At 58.4% G+C, this 20,539-nt stretch overlaps 1 protein-coding gene across 3 annotated transcripts, besides 9 other annotated features; it reads left to right on the forward strand.

Moving 5' to 3' along the window:
- The first annotated feature begins 399 nt into the window (after window positions 1–399).
- C15orf39 (chromosome 15 open reading frame 39) lies at window positions 400–13,680 on the forward strand. Of its 3 annotated transcripts, XM_047432865.1 has the most exons (5): window positions 400–672; window positions 3,472–3,570; window positions 7,510–8,245; window positions 8,614–10,335; window positions 12,260–13,680. In XM_047432865.1, the coding sequence occupies exons 3-5, from the start codon at window positions 8,026–8,028 to the stop codon at window positions 12,625–12,627; spliced, it is 2,310 nt and encodes a 769-aa protein (XP_047288821.1). In that variant the 5' UTR covers window positions 400–672; window positions 3,472–3,570; window positions 7,510–8,025; the 3' UTR covers window positions 12,628–13,680. The 3 variants fall into 3 exon arrangements, with proteins under 3 accessions (XP_047288821.1, XP_047288820.1, NP_056307.3); XM_047432864.1 differs by having other exon boundaries at window positions 7,510–10,335; NM_015492.5 differs by lacking the exon at window positions 400–672 and having other exon boundaries at window positions 3,393–3,570; window positions 7,510–10,335.
- Window positions 1,070–1,139: an enhancer, noted in NCBI's record as "active region_9840". NCBI's record gives its function as "activates an Ori minimal core promoter by ATAC-STARR-seq in GM12878 lymphoblastoid cells {active_cell/tissue: GM12878}" and the evidence as "EXISTENCE:reporter gene assay evidence [ECO:0000049][PMID:35858748]".
- Window positions 1,550–1,729: an enhancer, noted in NCBI's record as "active region_9841". NCBI's record gives its function as "activates an Ori minimal core promoter by ATAC-STARR-seq in GM12878 lymphoblastoid cells {active_cell/tissue: GM12878}" and the evidence as "EXISTENCE:reporter gene assay evidence [ECO:0000049][PMID:35858748]".
- Window positions 2,996–3,718: an enhancer, noted in NCBI's record as "H3K27ac-H3K4me1 hESC enhancer chr15:75493826-75494548 (GRCh37/hg19 assembly coordinates)". NCBI's record gives its function as "activates a minimal SCP1, AML or CMV promoter by ChIP-STARR-seq in naive H9 embryonic stem cells {active_cell/tissue: H9 hESC(naive)}" and the evidence as "EXISTENCE:reporter gene assay evidence [ECO:0000049][PMID:30033119]".
- Window positions 2,996–4,359: a biological region, named in NCBI's record as "H3K27ac-H3K4me1 hESC enhancer GRCh37_chr15:75493826-75494548".
- Window positions 3,200–4,359: a silencer, noted in NCBI's record as "silent region_6664". NCBI's record gives its function as "represses an Ori minimal core promoter by ATAC-STARR-seq in GM12878 lymphoblastoid cells {active_cell/tissue: GM12878}" and the evidence as "EXISTENCE:reporter gene assay evidence [ECO:0000049][PMID:35858748]".
- Window positions 4,480–4,529: a silencer, noted in NCBI's record as "silent region_6665". NCBI's record gives its function as "represses an Ori minimal core promoter by ATAC-STARR-seq in GM12878 lymphoblastoid cells {active_cell/tissue: GM12878}" and the evidence as "EXISTENCE:reporter gene assay evidence [ECO:0000049][PMID:35858748]".
- Window positions 8,786–8,835: an enhancer, noted in NCBI's record as "active region_9842". NCBI's record gives its function as "activates an Ori minimal core promoter by ATAC-STARR-seq in GM12878 lymphoblastoid cells {active_cell/tissue: GM12878}" and the evidence as "EXISTENCE:reporter gene assay evidence [ECO:0000049][PMID:35858748]".
- Window positions 16,286–16,345: an enhancer, noted in NCBI's record as "active region_9843". NCBI's record gives its function as "activates an Ori minimal core promoter by ATAC-STARR-seq in GM12878 lymphoblastoid cells {active_cell/tissue: GM12878}" and the evidence as "EXISTENCE:reporter gene assay evidence [ECO:0000049][PMID:35858748]".
- Window positions 20,155–20,204: an enhancer, noted in NCBI's record as "active region_9844". NCBI's record gives its function as "activates an Ori minimal core promoter by ATAC-STARR-seq in GM12878 lymphoblastoid cells {active_cell/tissue: GM12878}" and the evidence as "EXISTENCE:reporter gene assay evidence [ECO:0000049][PMID:35858748]".

Raw genomic sequence — 20,539 nt, forward strand, 5'->3', positions numbered from 1 at the left:
GGTTCCTGAACAACAATTGTGTCTGAGCCCTCCCTCAGAAGGCACTGGAGTCACACAGTCCTCCAGGGACAATCCTAGCTCTCCATTTCTTGGCTATGTGGACAAGTGGCCTCCCCCTCCTCCTCTAGAGCTACTGTTACTGGTTGAGGGTAGTTGCCCAGGTTCTTGGTGTTTTGAACAAAGAATTGGACAAAAGGCACAAGCAAGGCAGCAAAACCTCCAGCAAGAGGCTCAGGAGCACTGGTTACAGAATTTTCTGGGGTTTATATACCCTCTAGAGGTTTCCCATTGGTTCACCCTAGTAGCCCGCAACCAGTCTGATTGGTTGAAGAGTAGGCCCACGACCAGTCTGATGGGTTGTGGGAGGGGACCAATCAGAGGCACTTTCACTTTCCAGCTGCCACTCAGCAACTGCCATACAGCAAAAGGAGGGATTGCAACTACCATGCAGCAACTGCCACCTTGAAAGAGAAGGGGTTGAAGAGTAGTCTCTAATATCCAGCACCAGTTGGCCTTAGGTTCCCTGCCTCCAGACCTTATTCTCCTGCAACATCACCACTGGTTGAAACCTTACTACAAATCAAGCTGTGAAGTCACTGGAGCCCTGTAGCAAGTCATGTCCCTGTAACGATGAGTGAGCTGACAGCTAAGGGGCTTGCCTAAACCACACAGGTCAGTGGATCAAACCCCAGTGTGCTTGTTTTTCAAACTCCTGCTTCACATGGTTGTAAGAATTAAATGAGATATCAATTATCTCATAGATAGATGTAGGAGCTCCATGCCCAACCACTGACACTGAGATATCCCTCTTCTGGGAGGGGAGAGGGAGCAATGAGGAAATAGAGGGCAGACAGGGCAGCAAAAGCAGTCTGAGGGGCCTCTCAGGAGGAGGCAGTGTCTATAGCTGGGTCTGCAAGGATGGAAGGGGGCATTGCTGTGTGTCTTAGGGAAAGGTGCCATACTTCTCTGTTTCTCTGCCTGTAGAGTAGCTGCCAGCTCCACCTCACACGCCTCTGGGGTAAGGGAGCTCCTCCAAGGAAGGAGATTTGTAAATAGCAGGTGTGGCCTCATTAGAGGGAGCACCATTGTTATTAATAACCATAAAATAATGAGCCAAGGCTCAGGATCTGACCTTTTACCTTGCATTCCCAGGGAGCCAGGAGAAGTAACTGGTGTCTGGGGTGGGGTGGAAGAGGAGTGTGTGTGTTGCATGTGAAACCTGGGCAGACCTGGTAGTGGTAGGGGTGGGGTGGGGTGAGGAGAAACCTCCTTTTTACACTACTTTCTTTTTCTGTGTTAACTCTACTCGGGAAGGCCATATAAGGACAGACTGTTCCCTTCTCTGCTTTTATTCACACTATTCCTTCTGATTAGAATATCACATCTCTGCAAGACCACAGTCCTGATAAAAACATGTGGAGCTCCCAAGGCAGTTATCTTGTATTGATTGCCTTCATTCTCTATAGGCTCCACAGACGACCATTGGTATAGGGAGGAAAATGGCAAGGTCAGAGCCTTCAGGAGCTCATAGTCTGGGGACACTCTATGAGCTTCCTAGAGTTTACAAGCAATTTCCCACACTGATGTTGGCCGACACCACAGTTGCTAAGGCAGGTCTCTCACTGCTCTCTTTTTGCAATGAGGAAATTTGAGGCTCAGAAAGTTACAAAGTAGCTCCCAAGTCCCCCAGTGTTGCCTCCTTTCTTTGGCAGTCCAGGGTGTTTAAGTGATGCCGAAAAGGAACAGACATACTGTTGAGTGGGGCTGCTGTCTGTGTGAGGTGTCCCTGAATTAACACAAGGCTCAGCAGTGCTGCAAATCTTAACTAGCCCCTATTGTCTCAGATGGCTGCTCATCCTGGCCTGGTTGGGTCCCATTCCAACTCAGGGAAATTGGAGAGACCACTGGGCACATCTGAGCACACAACCTGAGCGTCCTAGACCCCAAGGGCTAAGAACACAGCCCTCCTTCCACCCCACTAGCAGGGCAGGGACAGGGTCGCCGGCGCGGTGCTGGAGGAGGAGGGGCGAGCAGAGTTGGTAAGGGGCAAGAGCAGTGAATAGCCTGTGACCCACGGGGCTGCAGGCTGGGGTTAAGGGTATGATGTTTGGTGTGACCCCTAGCTGTCCGCGCGCAGATGTATTTTCCTGACGCTAAGGTGTGGCTGCAGGAAGGGCCCCAGGCTGGGAGCCAGGAGATCTGGGATTTTGTCCCAGCCTGCTGAGTGACCTGGGGAAAGCCCCAACCCTCTCTGAGTGTCTCTCCCTATATGGTTCCCGACTCTATTTCTAAGGTCCTTCCAGCTCTAAATGAAGTGACACTCTCCCCCCACCTCCCGCCCCCGCTCCCCAGGTGACCTCACTTCCTCTTCCTACCTGCAGCGCCCAGCCCCTCCTCCTCAGCTCCAGCTGCTCCAGCTGCTTGGTGATTCTTGGAACCTGCAGCCTCAGGCCTGCTCTGCTCTGACTCAGGCAGAACTTACCTTTGGGATCTGAGGGGATAGTTTTGCTTCCTGAACTGACTCTGACCTTTGGCATGTCCACCTGCCCTCCCCTTCCCCACTGCACACACCTGTTCCCAGTCCTCGGGCAGCCCAGGAGCTTTGACGGACCAGATTCCTTCAGATAAAGTAGCAGCACTGAGGGGCTCTCATCCACAGTCAGATGGTCCAGGGAGAGGCACCCCTTCCCCCCTCCAGCCTCTCTTTGCAACACACCATTCCTGGCTGGGCGTGCTCCACTCCACCCGCCTCACAGGCTGCGCGCCGGTCTGCCTCATGGAGGGAGCCTCACCCAGGCTACTTTGCAAATCCCCCAGCACCCTCATTCCCGGCCCTTCCAGGGATGGGGAGATTGCCGCTTCCTCAGACAGTTGCCGTGCCCTAGCAGGAGTCTGGAAATTGCCCTCATTGACTACAACGAAATGAGGGGACAGATCAAGGAGCCCTTCTCCAGCCCCCTAATACACTAGTGCTGGACAGGGGAATGCCGGCACCTACTGTGTGCCAGATATTTGCAAACACCCTTTTCCAAGCTTACACCGCCACCGCTATGAGGAAGACAGAATTCCACTTTTGCAAATAAGGAAACTGAAGCTCAGCGAGGTCAAGCGGCAGGCGCAAGGTCACATCGCAGCAAGTGGCAGTGAATGAACGATCTAAGGGAGCGACTGAGGGCGCGTGACGGGCCCGCCGGGCACTGGTTCGTGGAGCGTGGCGGTTACGGGCGGTGCACAGCGCCCGCAGCCCGCTCCTAGCGAGCTGGCCCCACGCGGGCCCTCCGCACCCGCTGCCCACAGGAGCGCAGGCTCCCAGAGGCGGGGCCGGGCTCTTCCCCAACCCTGCGAGTCGCCCCGCCCCCGCCCCGCCCCCAGCCCGCCCCGCCCGGGACCGCAGACGGCGCCCAGCGGCGGCGCGAACGGCAGCTAGGAGGGTTGCTCCGGGCTTGGTGCTCACTGCGACTTCCCGCGCAGGGCCCGGTCGGACTAGGACCCGCGGCCTGAGAGACGCTGGAGGATGCGGACGCGGAGGCCGCCTGGGGTAGCGGCGGCGGGAGTCCTGGCGCTCTGCAGGTAGGAGCTCGCCCGCTCGGCGGGCGCGGAAACTTGGGCCGAGTTTGCGGGCGGCGCGTGGAGAAGGGGCGGGTGGCGCTGCCCCAGGGCGCCCCTACCGGCCGGCCCGGGGACTGAGGGAGCCGCGCCTGGGCCGAGGGGCTGCGGCTTCTGGCTGCCGCCGGCCCCCCGCGAACGGGCTGCGGGGCAGGGGTGGCGCTGCTGCTCCGACTTTCCCCGGACTTCGAGGCTCCCGGGACCTGGTAGCGCTCTGGGTCTCCGGCGGAGAACAGGCGCCTAATCTGGCGAGAAGGAACTCAGGCCGAGCCCTCCGGCCTCCCGCAGGACCCTGTCACGTGGATTGCTGGGGGATGGCGTTGAGGAGGAGGTATGGGGACAAGGGGGCACTGGAGGGCTGGGCCTGGGGGCGCCGGGCGCTGAGGCACCGCGGGGCCCTGGACGCGCCCTGCTGGGATGGGACGGCCCTGCGGTTTTCTCGCCACCTCTTGACTCACCCCTCTGGCCTCAGCCCAGGCTGGCAGGATCGCCCTGAGGCGGAGGCTGCCCGGACCCTGTCGCCGGGCCGCCCCTGTTCCGGGACCTCCCGCCGGTCCGCGGGCGTCGGTGTGGGGCTGGGTGCGCGGGCCTGCCTGCGTGCACACGTATGCCCGGGGCCCGAGCGAGGGGAGAGCGCAGTTCTGGAATGGCGTGTGTGCAGATGTGGGCCATGCACGTACGTGCAGGCACGGGTTTGCATGCGTGGCGGCGGCCTGTGTGTCAGCCTGCTGGATGCACGTGCGTCTCGGCGCCGCCGGGAGGGGCTTGGGGACACCCGGAAGCCCGCCAGGTCGGGTGCGGCGGCAGCCTCTAAGCGAAATCGGCTGTGGGCCCTAGGCACCCGAGTTATGTTCAGGGCGGGTAGGGGAAAGGGGATAGAGACCGATCCCGTTCGCTTTCCCCTCCACTGGAGACTTTGGGCTGCCCCAGGTTGGGTTGTAGCGTCTGGAGAGCCCAGAGCCTCAGGTAGGGAAGGTGGGAGATGGGAGAACACTCGGCGAGGCCCGATCCAGCCCTCCGGGAGAATCCAGATGCTGGCCACAATTGGGCAGGAATCGCGCTCTTCTTCCTGGTCTTTGCCATCGGCCATCCCGAGGCCCCTAGAAGGTGAAAGTGGGAACAGAGAGCTGTTTCCTTTCCCACTGCGTAAGGCAGGGGCGGTGCTGCGGTGGTGGGCTCTTCTCCGGGACCCTGGCCTGGGTGCTGGCTGAGTGACGTTGGAGCTTGGCAGAGAGGATCAACAGAGCTGCCTCTCAAGGATGATCTGAGCCTGCTCCCTGGGCACCTGCCCTTTCCGAGAGCTTGCTTGCCTCAGTATGGGTCAGGGAAGGAGGCACCTACATTTTGGCAACTGTCTTGAGTGGAGGAGTCGTCTCCCTTGAGAGAGTGTATCCTGGGCTTTCCACCTCCTACTGGCAGGAGATCAGGTCATTCCCACACCCCTAAGAGTTCTCTGTTGGCTCCCTGAAGCCGCCACCCCTCCCACAAAGACTCCTGAGGGTCCCAGGTGGTTTCCTGTCTATTGACTGGGTCCCAGATAGGGGCCTCAAGAAGTCTCCAGAGCAAAGGGTATTCCATGGGCTGAGACCCAGGAGAGAGGGACTCCTGGGGTGGGGGTGGGGACCCAGCAGACCCCAAGAAGCATGTGGGGGAGGTGAGACCAAAGTCAGTACTTAACCCAGAGTGTCCCAAGGGTGGAGGTGGGGAGGATCCACACTTCAAAACCCTACAGTTCCTTCTCACAGCATTGCTGTGGAGTGAGATGGGGGCTTTCACCCCTCGATAGCAGGTTTCTATCATAGGACACTGCTGTTGGGACTGTCACCTGTGTCCTAATGGCCCCTCTGTGTCTTCTCTAGGCTGGCCTGAGGTGTGGGGTTCTGTCCAGGAGATGAACCAGCTTGCTTTCTGGGTCTGCCTTGGTGGAAGTGGGCATTGGCCCCCACACTAGCCTTGTGTTTTCTAACCCCAAAATGTGCCGGTCTAACTCAGCCTGTGGCTGTCATTGGCTCCAACCAGAAGAGGCAAGGAGAGGGCTGGTCCTTGCTTGCCAGTCACTGAAACCTGTGACACTTTGCCCTAATCATAGCAAGATTGAGCTAGGTGGTCCTTTCTAAGCTACTGAGAGTTTCCAGGAATAGGGTGCTGGCTGGGGGAGGTAGAGGTAGGTCAGTGTGGCCCCAGAAGACAGGCTTCAGATGAGCCCCTAACGGGTTACTGGGTGCCTGCTGCCCTGAGGGGCCTCAGTCCCCATCCTTCCTTGGTCTTGTCTTAGAGCTTTGTCTTTTTTCAGCACATAGTTTTTCCATCAATACAATGGGAGTAGTGGCTAAGTAGCACTCTGGCCCCTGGGGCCTCCCTCCCTGGACTTTTTTCTTTTCTTTTCTTTTCTTTTTTTTTGTTTTGTTTTTTGTTTTTTGTGTTTTTTTGAGGTGGAGTCTCACTCTGCTGCCCAGGCTGGAAGTGCAGTAGCACAATCTTGGCTCACTGCAACCTCTGCCTCCTGAGTTCACGCAATTCTCCTGCCTCAGCCTTCAGCGTAGCTGGGATTACAGGCATGCACAACCATGCCTGGCTAATTTTTTTGTATTTTTAGTAGAGACAGCGTTTCACCATGTTGGTCAGGTTGGTCTTGAACTCCTGACCTCAAATGATCCGCACACCTCGGCTTCCCAAAGTGCTGGGATTACAGGTGTGAGCCACAGCACCTAGCCACCTCCCTGGACTTTCACACACGCCCCTGACGCTGTCTTGGCCCCACCCTGCCATGTGCCTAGGAATCGCCATCTGCAGCTTGGGGGCTGGGGGTGGATCCAGGCTCCTCATGCTCTGGGACCTTCCTGCTGGTGCTGCAGCACCATCTGCTGGGCTGCCCTGACTCCTGCGGAGGGGGAGGAGTGGGGCGAGAGGGGTGTGGCTTGTACAGACTGATGTCCCCAGTTACCTCTCCTAGGGGACTGCTCTCCAGAGCCAAGTCCAGTATCTCAGCATTGGCTTTGGGCCTAGGGACCTGGGCTGGAGGCCCGACTCTGCCATTTTTGACAAGATCAGCAGGTCAGAGGAGTGTCACAAGAAATCTGTGAATTTGTAGACAATACTCAGATTCCATGTTTTGGCTGCAGTGGGCATCACTGTGGCATCTTGGAATAGGACCCTGTGGTGGGAGGCAGGAGGCCTGCTTCTCGTTGTGTCTATTTCATTGGTGACTTTGGGATGAATGGGTCTCCTCATCTGTATATGAGGGGGTGGCGGCAGGGTATGTCAAGTGACCCTGAGACCCAGTGCCCCTACAAATTCTGAAATCCCAAGAAGGAGGGGATCTTGGGAGTTGTATGGAGGAAAATCGAACAGAAGGGGCTCCTGGAGTGGGGATGGGTGGGGGTTCTGTGTAGAATAATTCATTAAACAAAGGGTTCTGCAGCTTAAAATATACGAGTTGGGGTCAGGAGCAGTAGGTGGTTCATGCCTGTGATTTCAGCATTTTGGGAGGCCAAGATGGGAGGATCACATGAGTCCAGGAGTTCAAGACCAGCCTGGGTAACATAGTAAGACCCTGTTTCTACATAAAATACTAAAATGAGCCGGGTGTGGTAGCAGGCACCTGTGGTCCCAGCAACCTGGGAGTTGGGAGAATCACTTGAGCCCAGGAGGTTGAGACTGCGGTGAGCCAAGTTCATGTCATTGCACTCCAGCCCGGGCAACAGAGTGAGACCCTGCCTCAAAAAATACATACACGAGTTGGAAACCTCTGTCACGTGGCTCATGCACTCACAGTCTTAACTGAGCATCATTTAAGCGCCAGGTTCTTAGGTGTAGCCGTGAGCTGATGAGAGCAGCAGCCCTCTGTTGCTTTGCCTGTAGCCTGTTTTCCTGACAGCCCCTGCCTTTCTCTCTCTATCCCAGGTCAGAAGTTGAGTAGCAGGGGCCTAGGAGGGCTCGAAGCCTTCACAGCGATGGCAGAGAAGCGACCCCTGAGAACCCTGGGGCCTGTGATGTATGGCAAGCTGCCCCGCTTAGAGACAGACTCCGGGCTCGAGCACAGCCTGCCCCACTCTGTTGGTAACCAGGATCCCTGCACCTACAAGGGGTCCTACTTCTCCTGCCCCATGGCAGGTACTCCTAAGGCCGAGTCTGAGCAGTTGGCGTCCTGGACCCCATACCCACCCTTGTACTCTACCGGTATGGCAGGACCCCCACTTCAGGCAGACAACCTGCTGACCAACTGCCTGTTCTACCGCTCGCCAGCAGAAGGCCCTGAGAAGATGCAGGACTCCAGCCCTGTTGAGCTCCTGCCCTTCAGTCCCCAGGCTCACTCCTACCCAGGCCCACCACTGGCAGCACCCAAACCTGTCTACCGCAACCCTCTGTGCTATGGGCTCTCAACTTGTCTGGGGGAAGGAGCAGTGAAGAGGCCACTGGATGTTGACTGGACTCTGGCGACTGGGCCCCTGTTGCCCTCAGCTGACCCACCCTGCTCTCTGGCCCCAGCTCCTAGCAAGGGCCAGACTCTGGATGGCACCTTCTTGCGGGGGGTGCCAGCTGAGGGGTCCAGTAAAGACTCCTCAGGGAGCTTCTCCCCATGCCAGCCCTTCCTGGAGAAATATCAGACCATCCACAGCACGGGCTTCCTGGCCTCCAGGTACACAGGTCCTTACCCTAGGAACTCCAAGCAAGCAATGTCTGAGGGGCCCTCAAGTCCTTGGACCCAGCTGGCCCAGCCCCTGGGGCCACCCTGTCAGGACACCGGGCCCACCCACTACCCACCACCCCACCACCCACCACCCCACCCTCCACAGGCCCTGCCTTGCCCTCCAGCCTGTCGCCACCCAGAGAAGCAGGGCAGCTACAGCCCAGCACTCCCACTGCAGCCTCTGGGGGGCCACAAGGGGACCGGGTACCAGGCTGGTGGGCTGGGCAGCCCCTACCTGAGGCAGCAGGCAGCCCAGGCACCTTACATTCCCCCACTGGGGCTGGACGCTTACCCCTACCCCTCTGCCCCTCTCCCAGCACCCTCTCCAGGCCTCAAGCTGGAGCCGCCTCTCACTCCACGGTGCCCATTGGACTTTGCCCCCCAGACACTGAGTTTTCCTTATGCCCGGGATGACCTCTCTCTCTATGGAGCATCCCCTGGGCTTGGAGGGACACCACCTTCCCAGAACAATGTGCGGGCTGTGCCACAGCCTGGTGCCTTCCAGAGGGCATGCCAGCCTTTGCCAGCGAGCCAGCCCTGCTCAGAGCCTGTGAGGCCTGCACAGGAAGCCGAAGAGAAGACCTGGCTGCCCAGCTGCAGGAAAGAGAAGCTCCAGCCCCGGCTCAGTGAGCACTCTGGGCCGCCCATCGTCATCCGAGACAGTCCAGTTCCCTGTACCCCCCCAGCACTGCCCCCCTGTGCCCGGGAGTGCCAGTCTCTTCCACAGAAGGAGGGCGCAAGGCCACCCAGCTCTCCACCAATGCCTGTCATTGACAATGTCTTCAGCCTGGCCCCCTACCGTGACTATCTGGATGTGCCGGCACCCGAGGCCACAACTGAGCCTGACTCTGCCACAGCTGAGCCTGACTCAGCCCCAGCCACCAGTGAAGGTCAGGACAAAGGCTGCAGGGGGACCCTGCCTGCCCAGGAGGGCCCCTCAGGGAGTAAACCCCTAAGGGGCTCACTTAAGGAGGAGGTAGCCCTGGATTTGAGTGTGAGGAAGCCCACAGCAGAGGCCTCCCCTGTCAAGGCTTCCCGTTCTGTGGAGCATGCCAAGCCTACTGCAGCCATGGATGTGCCAGATGTGGGCAACATGGTGTCAGATCTGCCAGGCCTGAAAAAGATAGACACAGAAGCACCAGGCTTGCCTGGGGTGCCAGTGACCACAGATGCCATGCCAAGGACCAACTTCCACAGCTCTGTGGCCTTCATGTTCCGAAAGTTCAAGATCCTCCGTCCGGCACCTTTGCCTGCAGCCGTGGTCCCGTCCACGCCCACCTCAGCTCCTGCTCCCACACAGCCTGCACCCACCCCCACATCTGGGCCCATTGGACTGCGGATTCTCGCTCAACAGCCCTTGTCTGTGACCTGCTTCAGCCTGGCACTGCCCAGCCCTCCAGCCGTAGCTGTGGCCTCCCCTGCCCCTGCTCCAGCTCCATCCCCTGCTCCGGCTCGAGCTCAGGCTCCAGCTTCAGCCCGGGATCCAGCTCCAGCTCCAGCTCCAGTTGCAGGCCCTGCTCCAGCATCTACTTCAGCCCCAGGGGACTCCCTGGAGCAGCATTTTACAGGACTACATGCGTCCCTGTGTGATGCTATTTCTGGCTCCGTCGCCCACTCTCCTCCAGAGAAGCTTCGCGAGTGGCTAGAGACGGCTGGGCCCTGGGGCCAGGCTGCGTGGCAGGACTGCCAGGGTGTGCAGGGGCTGCTGGCCAAGCTGCTGTCTCAGCTGCAGCGCTTCGATCGCACCCACCGGTGCCCCTTCCCCCATGTGGTGCGAGCTGGCGCCATCTTCGTGCCCATTCACCTGGTGAAGGAGCGGCTCTTCCCTCGGCTGCCACCCGCTTCTGTGGACCATGTGCTGCAGGAGCATCGTGTGGAGCTGCGGCCCACCACGCTGTCGGAGGAGCGGGCACTGCGGGAGCTCGCCCTGCCAGGCTGCACCTCACGCATGCTGAAGTTACTGGCGCTGCGCCAGCTGCCGGACATTTACCCCGACCTTCTCGGCCTGCAGTGGCGCGACTGTGTACGCCGCCAGCTGGGTGAGCATGGGGCAGCCCCAGTGGCCACCGGAGCTGTGTGAGCAAGTGACAGGTGTGTGTGCTGTGTGAGTGCGTCACAGCTGGGGCTGAGTGATTCCAAGGACTCCTGCCCGGGTAGGGGGCTTTAGGATGAGCTCTAGGTACCCCCACCCCTTGACCCTCCAGACAATCAGTGAGCACCTTCATAGCCTCTTTTGTAGGCTTCTGAACATGCCAGCTGCTCTGTCCCCATGGAAACTCCTCGGCCTCCCCTGGTGCTGCACCTTCTTGGATTCCCTCCTCCTCTGCCTGTGCCTTCTCCATCTTTGGTGCAGTGTTTCCGGCACTCTGGTTAGGCCCTGTTTTCTAGCTGAGATAATTTCCCTGATCTCCAGCCTAGCATCCCCTTTGTGAGCTCTAGCCCTAAATAACCCACTGCATGCTGGGCCTCAGCCCCTGGGTCTCTCTCCCACACTGAACTCATCCCAAATCACACTCCCGAGCCTTCCCCTCAGCTCACTTCCCACAACCAGTTCTTTTCCATGTCAGTGAAGGGCACCCCCTTTCACAAAGCTCCTCATGCTCTAGACCTGGTGAGGGCCACAGCTGCCTTTTTGAACGTGTAGTTTTGCAGTCCTCCCCGGCCCTTACATACACAGAAGTGTGCGCATAAGTCGCATTGTTTTGTGGTTTGCTTTTCCTCTACTAAATGATGTGCCTGCTGTTCTCCAGCTTGTTTTCTTTTAATGTCCTGGAGGACCACACAACTGCCGAAGTGTTGTGTGGCGTGTATGATCACACTTCTTCAGCTAGGGATCTGGTGATGGGACCAAGTGGATTCTGTTATTGCCCCTCCTGCGTCAGTACACCTGGCATTGCAGCCTGAGGCCCCCTCTAGTTTTTCTCTCCCTGCTGCCCCCAATTCCACCCTCTCCCATTTCCACTGCCCAGCCTCTTCCCTGTAGAAACTGTTCCTAGTTCCATCCCCGTAGTGGCAGCCTTGCCCCGGGCCCTTACCTGGTTGGGATGGGGAAGGGCCTGTGGCAGTGAGGTGCAGATGAGCTTAGGGGCTGGCTGACCAGAATCCCTGATCCCTGAGTACTTACAAAATTGGAGCAGATGCCTTAATGGGATGCAAAGGAAATCCAGACTCAGGCGATCTGTTACTGAGTGAGGGTCCCACATCACTCAGGGCTGGGCTGCCCAGCTCAGTCCTCTCCCCATACAGTTGGGCTGTCTGGGGCCCAGAGAGGGTCAGGTCTGTTTCTCCTGGGCTGCCTGATCAGCAGTGGAGTCTGGGCACTCCACACAGTCCGAGGTGCTCTGACTGGAGCTTGCAACAATCGGGGGGCCTGGGAAGCAAGTGATTGAGACCAGGCTTCTGGCTTCTGGCTGAATTTTGTTGCCCCTGTCCTCACTCCCTCCCACCTTGGGGGCCGTTTTTCTCTGTGTGCCCCTAGACAGTTATCCCTGCCTTCCTTTGTTGTGGGTGGGTTCCTGTGCTCCCCCAGCATGGCTCTTAGGACAGTCCCTACCTGGGCTCGGCCTCGGGCTTGGGCTTGGTCTCTGGGGCTGGTATGGCAGAAACATGATGGCTGTCTTATATATGGCAGGGTCCTCTGTTCCCATGCCTCAGTTTTCCATCTGAGCAATGGGTATTGGACCAGGCCAATGGTTCCTGACCTGCTGAGCCCCTTTGCTCTCATCCTTGTACCCAAACAGCCTCTCCTGAGTGGTGCCCTCATCAGATAGAGTTCTGGTGTCACCTGGGGAGAAGCACATCTTTTTTGCTTGGATGGTCTGGCCAGTGGGCATGTGTGGGGAAGAGTTGTGATGCCAGCCTGACTTGGGGCAGAGCAGAAGCACTGTTTGGATGGCTTTGGAAGCCAGGAGGTGGGACCTGAGGGTATGGGGTCTGCAGGCTGACTATGTGTTCGTTTTCCAGGTGACTTTGACACTGAGGCTGGAGCTGTGTCCTCCTCAGAGCCCACTGTGGCCAGAGGTGAGCCAGAGAGCCTAGCCCTGGCTCAGAAGTCACCGGCCCCCAAGGTCAGGAAGCCAGGCAGGAAGCCACCAACCCCTGGCCCGGAGAAAGCAGAGGCAGCTGCTGGGGAAGAGTCCTGTGGTGCCTCCCCTACCCCTGCTACCAGTGCCAGCCCACCTGGCCCCACACTGAAGGCCCGCTTCCGCAGTCTGCTGGAGACCGCCTGGCTCAATGGCCTGGCTCTGCCCACCTGGGGCCACAAGTCCTCAAGACCAGACCAGCCCTCACCCTGCCCACAGCTGCTGGACAGCCAGAGCCATCACCTGTAGCACTGGTTGCCAGTGCTGTGTGTATAGCAGTCACTCTCCACCCTTCCCTTCTGCCTGCCCAGCTGCCCCGGGGCCACGAGTGGATGCTGGGGCTGTGGCTGCTCCCCTGGAGGGGTTCCATCTCTGACCCTGTGGCCCATTCAGGGTGGGCTGAAGAGCCCCTGAGCTTTTAACGTGAGGGTCTTTATTGGATAGGACTACTCCCTATTTCTTGCCTAGAGAACACACATGGGCTTTGGAGCCCGACAGACCTGGGCTTGAATCCCGGCTCGTGTTCTTGCTGCAGGACCTGGGCAAGAAACTTCACCTCTGCTGAGCCCTCATTCCCCATGTGTAAAATGGGACAACGCAACCTACCTCACAGGGTTGTTGTGGGGATGCTGCCTGATACATACCCTGTCACCATTTGGTCTCTGCTTCCTCTCTGGGACAGGGCCTAGAATTGGAGGCAGAGAACCTTCCTATAGAAAGTCTTCGTGTGTCCTAGGACTTGGCTATCGTAGAGTGGTACCTTAGGCAGTGGATGTGACTCACACTTTCAGGAGTCACCCCCCAGCATTTGGGGTTGGGTTGGCCCTACTCCAGCCTGGAGCTCCCTGAGGGAGCCTGCACTCCCTGCTCCCAATCCCCGCTACTGGTGCAGGGATGCAGCCTGGAGCTGGCGTCCTTGTTCTGGGCCTGCTGCTGCCGCCACCCCAGGAGGCCCCAGGCCTGTCCTGAATTGACATCAGTGCTTCCCTGAACTGCCTCCCCCACCCCTGGCATTATCCCAGGAAACTTATGTTTTCTAGAAGCTAAGCAGCTGCTGGGACTCAGGGACTGGTGCAGGTAGGCTGAGTGGCAGCTCAGTCCTAGAAGGTCTCTGAAGATCTGGACTGAGGACCCTGCTGCTCCCCAAGCCAGAGCCCATCAGCCAGGCCTGCTGTGAGCCACCTGCCTGTGGAGTGCTGAGCTCAACCAAAGGCTGGCAAGCTCTGGGCCTCATTTAAGGGATTCTGATGAGCCGATGGGCCCTGGAGGCAGCCCATTAAAGCATCTGGCTCGTTTTTGGAAGTGGGGCCTGTCCGTGTGTTTGGGGATGGTCGGTTTCATGTTCCGTCACTGTGTGCTTAGCCCTTTGCTCGCAGGCTGCTCTCCCTGCTCCCAGTCCAGAAGGTGCTTCTGCACCCTCGTGCAGATGGCTGTGGCTCTGTGGACCCCTCTCACACACATACTTGCTTGCTCTGGGAAAGCCCTCTCTCCTGAGACCCCGTGGGTCCTCGTGGTTGTTGGTCTGTGGGCTACTGCCTGGTGAGAAATGCTGGTCATTAGACCCAGCACGTGCCTCTCTCCCAGGGCCAGACATGTCTTTCATGGTCTGGGTAGAACTGTTACAGCCTCCCCATTGCTGGTGACCATGCATCCCACTGACCTTAGCTTGGAGGGTGGGGGGTAGTGTGCTGGGCCCACCCTCTGGAGACCCTGCCCCTGCTGGGCTCTGTTCCCCCAGAGGCTTGTTCTCAGGGCAGCTAAGGTGGCTTCCTGGGCCTGTCTTCCCACTCCCCCTGGGCCAGGGGCCAGTCCACTGGGGCTTGTTGGACCTGTGTGGCATCCTGGTGGTGGTCACTGAGCCCAGCTGCACTGTCCCTCCTGTGCCAGCCTGGCCTTAACACTAGGCTGGGATTTGGAGTGGCAGCTGCCATTGTCCCCTTCCATTGTTCATATAGGCCCAAGAAGAGCTACTGGGCTGTGAAGGGATAGGTAACCACAACACATTGTGGCTGCTGCAGTGACAACCAGGGTGGAGGGTCCTTGGGTCCCAGAAGAGGTGATACCTGAATTGGACCTTGAAGACAAATACAAAATCACATGCAAAGTGGGGTCTGGGTAGAGAGAGCCGCACGTGCAGAGTCTTGGTGAGTCTGGAACAGGAAAATCCCCAGGCGAGGCTGGAGCTCCCAGAACCAGAAGGGGCAGGAGCAGGGCTTGGAAGCCTGGCTAGAAATCCAGCAACCCAGGGACTCAGTCCCACAACCTGAAGAATGGGGATGTGAGCCACGTGGAATCATTTGACACTACTACAGGGAGGAAAGAATTGCAGTGGAGGTGGAGTTTCTGAACTCTGGGCCCCCCGGGCCCTGGGCAGCCATGGGCACCTCGTCAGCCCCATCAGTCACATCCATCTCATCGTCAGCACCTTAATGGAGTGAGCGCTTTATTCCTTTTCCTTCGGTCCTCCCTTCCCGCCGTCCTCTCCTCTCCCTCCCTCCCTTCACACCTGTGCCCCTGCTGTATGCCTGACACACATCTTACCAATGGTGACCAGGCAGAGTGAGGGCTCAGAACAGGTAGGGCTTCGCACCTGGGTTCCTCTGTGGCCCCAGAGGACTCAGAATGGTGCAGAGGCCAGGCTGGGGTGGTGGAGAGCCAGGCCTGGCTGGGGTGGTGGAGAGCCAGGCCTGGCTGGAGTGAGGTGCTGCTCTGCGACGACAGCTCTATGCAGGGAGGCCCTCTCTTCCCCTGCACCAGTCTGAGGGAAGAGACTTAACCCGGACTTGGGAGTTCTAGTCTAAGGAAGGAGATATGACAGTGTCCCAGGGACCCCCAGTCTGAGGTGGTGGGGGCAGGAACCAGACTCTGCCCAGGACTCCTAGTCTGAGGGAAGCAGCGCCCTACCTAGGGCTGCCACCCCTAGGGCAAGGAAGGAGTGAGGGCAGTGGAGTGTGCTGGCCCCGCCCCCACCCCCAAGGAGACCCGAGCAGGTCCACCTAAGAATGGGGCTCAGGTGAGACCCAGCCTCACCATGCCCCACCTGGCACCCTAGCCCAATACAAAAGGCAAAGGGCCTGGGCGGCCGGCTTTGCTGACAGGAGTGGAGCTAGCAAGGTAGTGAGTGGGAAGGATGACAGCCCTGTCTTGGGGGACTCGGAGAGTAGGAGCTGGGAAGGGGAGAGGGGCTCCCCGGACAGAGTCGTCTCATAGGGAACAGCACCTCCAGCCAGGCTCAGCACTACACCACCCCAACCTGGCCTTGGCAGGGACCCTGGTGCTGAGCCCTGCTTGTCCTGAGGCCTCATTCTGCCCTGTCGCTGCTGGCAACGCCCATGTCTGGGGTGTTGTGAAGACCCCAAAGCCCCTTCGTGACTCCAGACGCCTCTTTCCCTCTGTCATTCCTGGCCTCATTGATGTTCCTCTTCCCGTGAGTTTGTTCTCACTAAGGGGGTTGAGTCGAGCCAGCTGAGTCTTCCCTCAAACCTCCTTTGGGGATCCTCGGAGCAGGACCCGACTCTGACCTGACTGGCTGTGACTCTTCTCATCCTGCAGTTCCTGTGCCGGAGAAGGGAGGGCCGAACCCCGAGCCCAGCCTGCTGCCCCAGCTGGTGGTGGGAGGCGGGCCATGGGGACGCTTCAGCCCGTGGACATGGCCTTGCTGCTGGCTATATGCTGTGCTCTCTCCATGGGCAGCTCCCCAAGACCCCACCTCCAGACACCCCCTCAGTGGGGAGCACCCAGTGCAGCTCTTCTGGAGCCCTGTCTGCCCAGGAGATGGGAATGGGGGAATGCTGCCAAGCCCCTCCTGTCTCTCCTGCTGCACATGGACCCCTTTTCCAGGGTGGCGGGAAGCTGGGGGCCTCCTTGAGGACGCTGCTGCCTCCATGGGGACTCCAACTCTGGATGTTCTAGCTATGGCCCACTCAGAGGTGCCTGTGTCGATGAGCCCTCCACCCCTCCTGCCACAGCCCCTAGCCTCAGCCTGCCTGGCCACTGTTCCTCCCACACCCTGCCTTTGTCCAAGAGGGGCCCAGCTTCCAGGTCCCTGTGATTTCTTAGGACAATTGGAACCCAGGGTCCTAGGAAGGGGTGCTGAGCCCCTTGGAAGGACCTCAAGGGGCCTCTTCTATGATTTCTGGGTTTGTCAGGGGATCCCTTGCTTCTTCAAGAGCCTCTGATAAGGCATCTGCAGACCCTTTTCCTCCTCAGATTTGGATGATGGGACCAGGGCAGGCCCCTCCTGTATCCCCTAGCTCCTCTCCATATAATTCAGAACTTGGGGTCCCAAGCTTGGCTGCACCTCCTCAAACCCTGTAAACCTCTTAGACCCAATCCCACTACACCCTCAGAGGGGCTGGGGCTTCAGCTTGGGCCCTACTACACAGAAAGCTAGTGCTTCTCTGCCTCCTGCTGAGGCCTTGATGACTCCTCAGTGAGGCCTGGGCTCCCAGCTGCCTTAAGTAGGCAAGAGACCCTGGAGACAGCCGCTACTCAAGGAGGCCTGGGTTCTCCAACAGACCTGGGGAGCCCGCCTGCCTTTCCACAAGGCTTGGTACCTCCCTTGGGCTAGATCTGGGGTATCCCTGTCCATCCTTTGCTGCCACCCTTCTGCTTGCCACTTCCTGGCCCCGCGGACATACCAGGACCCTAGCTTCCAGAGGCCAGGTCTTCCCCAGCCCCACCCTGCCATCTGCTGCCACCCTGGCATCTCTAAGCCCAGCAGGCCACAAGAGTCCCTAGCTACTAAAAGACTGGTCCCCACCAGATCTGCCCAGTGCTTCCCCAGAGGCCAGTGAGCATGCCCAGCCCCCAGCCCTTGGTAGCCCAGCCCCTTCTGGGTGTTGCCAGCTTGGAGCTTTCTTCTAGACCTGTGGATGCTATCCTATCTGGAGTTAGCTTAGACCTCTCCCCTGGCCTCCTGGGCACTTCTGGCCCTAATCCCCTGGCAGCCTGTTTTCCAGCATTCCTGGGACTGGTGGGGAGGCCTCTGCCAGCTCAGCGGGTGCCCCTCTGCACACCAGACTTGCTTTCCTTGCAACCCCAGCAGGAAGCCTCATTCTTTGTGGCATCCAGCCCACCCCTCTGATGTGGGCCCTAAACCTCCAGCTGGCCCAGCCCTGCAGAGTAGGTGCCCAAAGGTATCTTCAGCGGTTCCTGTCATGCTGGTCTCCCCCCAGGGTCCCCTTCTGGAGCCTGGCACCATAGATCTCGGTGGGGTGGGGAGTACAGCTCAGTCTCCCTTCCCCCTCACACCACTCATAGGGGGCCCTGTCCACCAAGGCCCCTGACTGCTGGGGGACCCACACCCACAGCCCCCTTCTTTCTGACTGCTGGCCCTTCCCCAGCCTGGATACTCGAGCCCTGGGCAGAGGGGTAACGATCCCAGGACTGTCTTCGCAGGCAGAGAGGCCACTTGGTACCAGGCCCTGACTCCTTGGGCTGAGCTCAGCAGCAGGCGTGTCACCAAGGCCCCCTGGGCAGAAGGGGCTCAGCCCTGAGGGCCCATCACTCGCCACGCCTGCATGTTCCTGCTAGGCATCCACCCTGAGGACCCAGCTTCCCCCTGCCCCCAGCTGCTGGCAGCCCCGTCTTGACTCATCCAGGGTTCTGGAGGCCACGCCAGGAAGTAGCCTGCAGCTGGAAGAAGCACCTGGTGTTTCTGCGTCGCCCAGGCTGGAGTGCAGTGGCGCGATCTCAGCTCACTGCAAGCTCCGCCTCCCAGGTTCACGCAGTTCTCCCGCCTCAGCCTCCTGAGTAGCTGGGACTACAGGCTCCCACCACCACACCTGGCTAATTTTGTTTTTGTATTTTTAGTAGAGATGGTGCTTCACCGTGTTAACCAGGATGGTCTCGATCTCCTGACCTCGTGATCTGCCTGCCTCGGCCTCCCAAAGTGCTGGGATTACAGGCGTGAGCCGCCGTGCCCGGCCTCTGCATCTTTTTTTATGGAGCTGACTTGGGTGGGAGGGGCTACAGACTCAAGGGAGACTGCAGGCCACCCCTTCCCCACTCCCTGGCTGGGTGGGTTTCCAGCTCAGGAGTCTGATTGGAAGGATGGGACCGTCCTGTCACAGAGGCAGGTCTGAGTAGTCCAGGCCCAGTTTTACCCTCCAGCAGGGCCCCTTTCATTCATTTGTCCAGCTGGCTTTGCCCAAAGCACAAGTGATGTCTATGTGGACTGTGTCCCCTGTCCCCAAGGGGAGTCTGGCTCCAGTCCTGGCCTGGAACTCGGAGACCTTAGAATTAGAGGCCACATCTGGCAGGGTGGACCAGCCAGGGCAGGTACCATGTTGGCAGCCCCAGACCTGACACCACGGCTCCCGTGTGCCCTCTCCACTTCCGTCCTGCACATCACCTATACTACGTGCTGTCCCTGATGAATCCAAGCTGTCAGCTTCCATCAGCTTGGCTGGGAAGTCAAGCTGACCAAAGGGGAATGGTGCAGCCTGAGTTGGGGGCTGAGTAGGAATGGGCCTGGTGTGGGGTGGGGGAGGTGGGGGTGAGGCGGGTGTCTGGCACCTCTCTGCTTATCTTCCCTTCTCCCTTGCCCATAAAGGAGGCATCTTCTCCATGTCCCTCTGCCACCCTGGGGACATAAAATACTGCCCCAGGTCTGTCTTCCCTTGGACATAGCCCACCTACCTTCCTGTGGGACTCAGGGCTTTGTTTTGTCCTGTGGCCCACATGAGAAGCAGTTATCCCTGCTCTGCTCAGCTGAGAGAGGACAAACTGAGGCAGAGCAGGGGAACAACTCTGTCATAGTCTGGCTGTTAATGGCAGAGTCAAGACCACTGAGTGTCTAGTGGACCACCAGGTCCACTGGACACCAAACGTGGAGGCTGTATTAGCCCGTTTTGTGTTGCTCTAGAGGAATACCTGAGACTGGGTTATTTATTTATTTATTTATTTATTTATTTATTTATTTATTTTTGAGATGAAGTCTAGCTCTGTCACCCAGGCTGGAGTGCAGTGGTACGATCTCAGGCTGCTGCAACCTCTGCCTCCTGGGTTCAGGCTATTCTCCTGCCTCAGCCTGCTGAGTAGCTGGGATTACAGGCATGGACCACCATGCCTGGCTAATTTTTTGTATTTTTAGTAGAGGCAGGGTTTTGAGATAGAGTTTCGCTCTTGTAGCCCAGGCTACAGTGCAGTGGTGCAATATCGGCTCACTGCAACCTCCGCCTCCAGGGTTCAAGCAATTCTCATGCCTCAGCCACCCAAGTAGCTGGGATTATAGGCGTGCACCACCATGCCTGGCTAATTTTGTATTTTTAGTAGAGACAGGGTTTTACCAGGTTGGCCAGCCTAGTCTTGAACTCCTGATCTCAAGTAATTTACTCGCCTTGGCCTCTCAAAGTGCTGGGATTACAGGCGTGAGCACCGCTCCTGGCCCTGAGACTGGGTAATTTATAAAAGAAGTTTATTTGCCTCATAGTTCTGCAGGCTGTACAAGCATCTGCTAGGCTTCTGGTGAAGCGTCAGGAAGCTTTTACTCCTGGCGGGAGGCAAAGAGGGAGCAGACGTGTCGCATGGTGAGAGAGGGAGCAAGAGAGAGGAGGCATCAGGCTCTCCTGTGAACTAATAGAAAACTCACTCATTGAATCACTTGAACCCAGGAGGTGGAGGTTGCAGTGAGCCAAGATCGCGCTACTGCACTCCAGCCTGGGCTGTGAGTGAGACTCTGTCTCAAAAAAAAAGGAAGGAAAGAAAGAGAAAAAAAAATTAGAAATTAGAAAACTCACTCATTACCATGGGGAGGGCACTAAGCCATTCATGAGGGATCCCCCACCATGACCCAAACACCTCACACTATAGGCCCCACCTCCAGCACTGGGGATCACATTTCAACACGAGATGTGGATGGGACAAGTATCCACACTATGTCAGAGGCCTCCCTGTCATCAGAGTCTTCTGTCCTCGGTTCAGGTGCATGCTGGCTTCCATGCCTGGCTTCCTAGGAAGTCATCTTGGCCCCATGGGGTTGGGCCGGGCCACTAGGCTGAGGGTTGGAGCCCTATCTCTCCTAGTCCCAGCCTGGGTCTCCATCACTGACTAGCCCGCTCTGCTTGCTGCATTCTCTCCACACCTGTTCCCTGTAGCCCAGGGGTCAGTCTGGGTGCAGGCCTGGGTAGAGGTCCAGGAGCAGATTCTGCCCCCCAGC

Source organism: Homo sapiens, chromosome 15, assembly GCF_000001405.40.
Source record: "Homo sapiens chromosome 15, GRCh38.p14 Primary Assembly".
NCBI lineage: Eukaryota > Metazoa > Chordata > Mammalia > Primates > Hominidae > Homo > Homo sapiens.

Excerpts from the sequence above, each read along its gene's own strand:
- C15orf39 (XM_047432864.1), top strand. The coding sequence starts at position 7,560 with ATGGCAGAGAAGCGACCCCTGAGAACCCTGGGGCCTGTGATGTATGGC. Across the intron at positions 10,336-12,259 it reads CTGTGTACGCCGCCAGCTGG|GTGACTTTGACACTGAGGCT; the intron begins GTGAGCATGGGG and ends TTCGTTTTCCAG.